The 5,713-nt window shown below is 31.2% G+C and overlaps 1 long non-coding RNA gene across 9 annotated transcripts in view; it reads left to right on the top strand.

Annotated features, from left to right (window-relative positions):
* LOC105377871 (uncharacterized) overlaps positions 1-5,713 on the top strand; it is a 105,003-nt gene that overhangs the window by 35,467 nt on the left and 63,823 nt on the right. For all 9 annotated transcript variants that reach the window (XR_007059658.1, XR_007059659.1, XR_007059660.1 and 6 more), the window contains one exon: positions 949-1,049. This is a non-coding gene — a long non-coding RNA (uncharacterized LOC105377871). The remainder of the gene's footprint in view (positions 1-948; positions 1,050-5,713) is intronic.

The following is a 5,713-nucleotide window of genomic DNA, read 5'->3' as shown; positions in this document are numbered from 1 at the left end:
GTGTGAGCCTCCGTACCCGGCCTACTTTTCTTTTTTAAAGTCTTTAATTGCTAATATATATTAGAAAAGTTTTACAGGTACACATAAAAAATTTACACATGATCACAACAGAGGGTGCAGAAAACTTAAGCAGATAGTTATGCTGTCAGGTATATAAACTGAAAAATCACTGGAAGTGACAGCTGTTATTTCAGTATGTTTTATAATTTTAGACGTTTCATTTGGGAGGGATAGCTTTAGGAGATATACCTAATGCTAAATGACGAGTTAATGGGTGCAGCACACCAGCATGGCACGTGTATACATATGTAACTAACCTGCACATTGTGCACATGTACCTAAAACTTAAAGTATAATAATAATAAAATAAAAAATAAAAATAAAAAATAAAAAACAAAACAAAACAAAAAGTAAAATTTTAAATTATATAAAATATTTACATAGTTCCAAGTCAAAGTAGAAAAAAATTCACAAAAGTCCTGATAGTATTCCTGTTCCATTGACCCTTTGCCCCGACTCTCTGCATGGGCAAAATTTTATTAGGTTTGGTTTCACATTTACATGGTTTCTATTTTGAAAATTGAATGAAATACATATACACACACAATTCCCCTCTCTTACATACATGGTATCATTCTAGAAATAATATTTTGTAATTTATTTTACTTAATGTATATCCTAGAGCTATCTATCTTTATCTATCATCTATTTATCTATATTTTTCTAGACACACAAATCACCTTTATTCCTCTTTATAGCTGCACAGCACTGCTTTGAGTGGAGGCACAACAGTGTAATTCCCTATTAATATATCTTTAATTAATGTCACAATTAACAACCTTGCTTAAAGGATAATTTGCATATTTGCCAGAATCTAGAAGAAAGATCCTCAAGTCACAGAATAACACATAGGCAATTTGGTAAATATTTCCAAATTCTTCTTCATAGGATTCATCATTTCGCATTTCTGTAACCATGAATGAGGGTGTTTGTTTTCTTAGAACTGTCCATGTGGAACATCCTGTCAGCCTCAGCTTTTTAACAATCAGGTAATTAAAAATGGTATTTCAGTACAGTTTGGTTTGTTTTTCTATAATTTTAAATAAAGGTAGTCTTGTTTCATATGTTTAAGGATCATTTTTATACGTTGCATATTGATCATATTTTATATAATTTCTCCGCTTTTCTAATGGGTTATTGGTACTTTAATTTCCATTTTTAAAAGTTCTTCAGGTACTAGATATTAGCCTTTTTGATATGTTACACATATTTTTTCAATTTTTTATTTGTATTTTTACATTGCTTTTGTGTTTTGCTATGTTATCAATCATTTCTTGTACTGACACTGGATTTTGAATTATAGCTAGCAAAATTTCCCTATTTTCCATTAGGCAGAGTATTTGAAGATTATAAAGTAATTTGCTCATATTTTCTTCTAATACTTGTATTATTCCAAATTTGAATTTAGAGTTCTGATTGATTTGGAATTTATTCTAGTTTTGGTTTAAATAATGAGTCTATTTTTATATGACTACCCAATTTTTACAACTTTTATTAAATCTCTATATATAGTGTGTGTGTATATATATATAGAACGTGTGTGTGTATATATATAGTGTGTGTATATATACATGCTATATGTATATATAGTATGTTGATCCTCTGCTTTGTTCCATTGATCTGTGTCTTTCTTCATGTGCAAATACCACACTATATTTTTTAGCAGCTTTACAATATGTTTACATATTTATTATGGCTAACATTTCTTCTCACCTCCCATATGTATTGCTCTTTTTATTTTAAGGGTTTTGTGACTACAACTGCTGGTTCATTTCTTCATATAAGCTTTGTAATCAATATGTCTAATCACAGAAAAACATTGATGGCATTTTTTTTTCCTTGATCACATTACATTACATTCATAATTGTATCCCAGGTAAAGCAAATGGCATTTAAAAAAATCAAGTCTTTCTATTCAAGAGCATAGTATGTCTTTCCATTTATAAAGTATACTATTTTGTCCTTTGTAATATTTTATATTTTTCCTGATATAGTTTTTATATAGTTTATTAAATTTTTGCTTGTCTATTTTATTTTCATTTGAAATAAACAAAAGGGATTTTCTGTGATATGTTCTAATTCCTCTTTTCATCTATGAAGGCTATTAATTTCTGTATATTAATTTTGTATCTTTCTAATCTTGCAGCCATTTTTTATTGGTGCTTTTAATTGTTTTAGATATTTAATCATGCCATAGACAAATGGAGGTGGTATTTCCCTCTTTTTACTTCTTACACTTTTAATTGCTTTTTCGTTTATGACTAACCACTTTGTCAAGTAGATCTCAATACAATCAAATAGCAAAATAATAGTAAGAACAGAAGACATTTTTGTCGTTTCTGACTTTTATGTGACTGACTCTAGGGTCTCCTCATTACTGGCATAAAGACTGAGTTACAAGGGGACTTCAAAAATTCATGGAAAATTTGTATTATGAAAAAGGTATGCATGGATTTCAATTTTTTTTGCACTAAAATAAACTTCCACTAACTTGTTATAACATGTTTAAATAAGAGCCCTTGTTGGAGCAACATAAATTTTGCTAAAATTCAAATTTATGGTGAATGTTGGGTTGAAGAATGGTAAATCCTAGGCTTTATGAAAAGTTTATGAAGTCAGTGCCTCAAAGAAATCAACAGTTTACAAAGTCCTCCTTTTCAGAAAGGACAACATGATGTTGAAGATGAAGCCTGCAGTGGCAGACCATCCACATCAGTTATCAAGTAAAAAATGTACTTGTCGGTGCCCTAATTGGAGAGGACTAATAATGATAGCAGAAACAATAGTCAACACAATAGACATCTCAATTAGTCAGATTACACAGTCTGACTAAAAAAATAAAGTTGAGCAAACTTTCCATTCAATGGATGCCAAAACTGTTGAACCCAGATCAGCTGTAGAGAAGAGCAAAGCTTTCTATGGAAATTTTAAACAAATGGGATCAAGGTCCTGAAGCATTTCTTCAAAGGTTGTAACAGAAACTGAAATACATCTTTACTAGTATGATCATAAAGACAAAGCACAATCAAATCCATGGCTATCAAGAGGTGGAAGTGGTCCAATCAAAGCAAAAGTGGAATGGTTGAGAGCAAAGTTCATGGAATACTTCACTGGGAGGCTCAAAGCATTTTACGTGTTGACTTTCTGGTGGCCAAAGTACAATAACATCTGTTTATTATGAGAATATTTTAAGAAAGTTAGCCAAAGCTGTAGCAGAAAAATGCCTGGGAAAGGTTCACCAGAGAGTCCTTCTCCACCATTGCAATGCTCCTGCTTATTCCTCTCATCAAACAACGGCAATTTTGTTGGAATTTTGTTGAAAATAACTACACACCCACCTTATAGTCCTTGGTTGGATCCTTCTAACTTTTTGTTTCTGAATCTTAAAATATCCTTAAAGCACACCCATTTATTCCACGTTAATAATGTGAAAAAGACTGCATTGACACGGTTAAATTCCAAGGACCCTTAATTCTTTAGGGATGGACTGAATTACTGGTCATTGCTTACAAAAAAATGTCTTTAATTTGATGGAGCTTATGTTGGGAAATAAAGTTTATTTTTTTACTTTTATCTTTTAATTCTAGTTTTCTACAGTCTTTTTGAAGTCTCCTCATGTAAACCAATGGAACAGAATAGAAAGTCCAGAAATAAACCCAAGCGTATATGGTCAACTGATTTTCAACTCGGGTGCCAAAAACACACAACGGGGAAAGGATTGCCTGTTTAACAAATGGTATTGGAAAAACTGCACATCCACCTACAAAAGAATAAAATTGGACCCCTAGCTTACACTATAAACAAAAATAAACTCATAATGGATTAAGTACTTAAAGGTAAGGCTAGAACTTGTAATACTCCTAGGGAAAATGCTTAAATGACATTGGTCTAGGCAATGATTTCATGCATATGACACCAATAACATAAGCAACAAAAGCAAAAATAGGGAAGCAGGATTACATCAAACTAGCAAGCTTCTGCACAACAAAGGAAACAACAGAGTGACGAGGCAACCTGCAGGATGGGAGAAAATACTTGCAAACCATATATCTGGTAAGATGTTAATAACAAAAATGCATGGAGACTCCTGCAACGCAGTAGCAAAAAACCAAATGGCTCAATTTAAAAATGAGCAAAGGACCTTAATAGACAGTTCTCCAAAGAAGACATAGAAATGCCCAACAGGTATATGGAAAAAATCTCAGCATCACTAAACATCAGAGAAATGCAAACTAAAACAATGTTCTGCGACCTCACACCTGTTAAAATGGCTATTATTAAACACATGAAAGGTAAGAAATGTTGGGGAAAATAGAGAGAAAAGAGAACCTTGGTACACTGTTGGTAAAAATGTAAACTAGTACAGTGATTATGAAGAACAGTATGGATCTTTCTCAAAAAGTTAAAAACAAATATCATATGATTTAGCAATCCCACTTCTGAGTATATATCTAAAAGGATTGAAATAAGAATTTCAAAAATATTTCTGGACTCCCATGGTCATTGTGGTGTTATTCACAATAGCCAAGATATAGAATTAATCTAAGTGTTCACCAACAGATGAATAAAGAAAATATGGTATATATAAATAATGGAAACATATTCAGCATTAAAAAAGGGAAATGTTGTCATTTATGAAAACATGGGTGGAACTAGAAGACATCATACTAAGTGAAATAAGTCAGGTACAGATGAAAAAATACTGCATGATTTCACTTATATGAGGTATTTAAAATAATCAAACTTATATAAGCAGAAAATAGAAAAATAGAATGGTGGCTGCCAGGGGATGGGGTGGGGGAAATTAGGAGGTTTTGTTCAATGAGTATAAAGTTACAGTTATATAAGATGAATAAGTTCTAATGATCTGCTGTACAACACAGTGACTGTAGTTAACAATATTCATTAAGAGGCTAGATCTTATATTAGGTGTTCTTAACACATAAACACACACACATATACACACACACAGAGACATAAGGAGATGATGGATAAGTTTATTACTGCGATTGTCATGATGGTGTCATAGGTGTATTCATATGTTCAAAATAATAAAATTGTATTCACTAAGCAATTATGTGTAGATCAATTATACCTCAATAAAGCTGTAAAAAATAAGATTCTAGCTTTAAAGCTGAAATATATATAGATCTTATTTCAGTTTCTAGAAAAGCTGTTTAATTTAGCAGTTTTATTTAAAAAAATGAAATAGTATTGATGTGTCAAATGCCTTTTGCTAAAAGATTGTCTCTAATGAGATCATATTTTTCTCTTTATATATGTTGATGTGATTAATTATATTAAAGAATTTCATAATATTTAAACTCACTGTGATAGTTTCTTTTGCTGTGCAGAAGCACTGTCATAAAGCCTCGGATTTACCATTCTTTAACCCAACATTCACCATAAATTTAACTTCACTGGCTTAGTAAGGATGTACTTTTAAAATGCAGTATTGGTTCCTATTTGTTAATATTTTATTTAAATTATACATCAATATTCACAGTAAACAGTCTGTAGTTTTTCTGTGCAATGTTTGTTAACCTTATGTTTATTTCATAAAAGAAATTGGAAGTAAGCCTTTATTTTCTGCACTTTGAAATCACGATGATATGTTTTAGAAGAATACTTTTAAAGACACAACATACCAGAA

Source organism: Homo sapiens, chromosome 6, assembly GCF_000001405.40.
Source record: "Homo sapiens chromosome 6, GRCh38.p14 Primary Assembly".
Classification (NCBI taxonomy): Eukaryota; Metazoa; Chordata; class Mammalia; order Primates; family Hominidae; genus Homo; species Homo sapiens.
The sequence above is the reverse complement of the archived record's forward strand: the minus strand, read 5'-3'. Positions and strand labels throughout refer to the sequence as shown.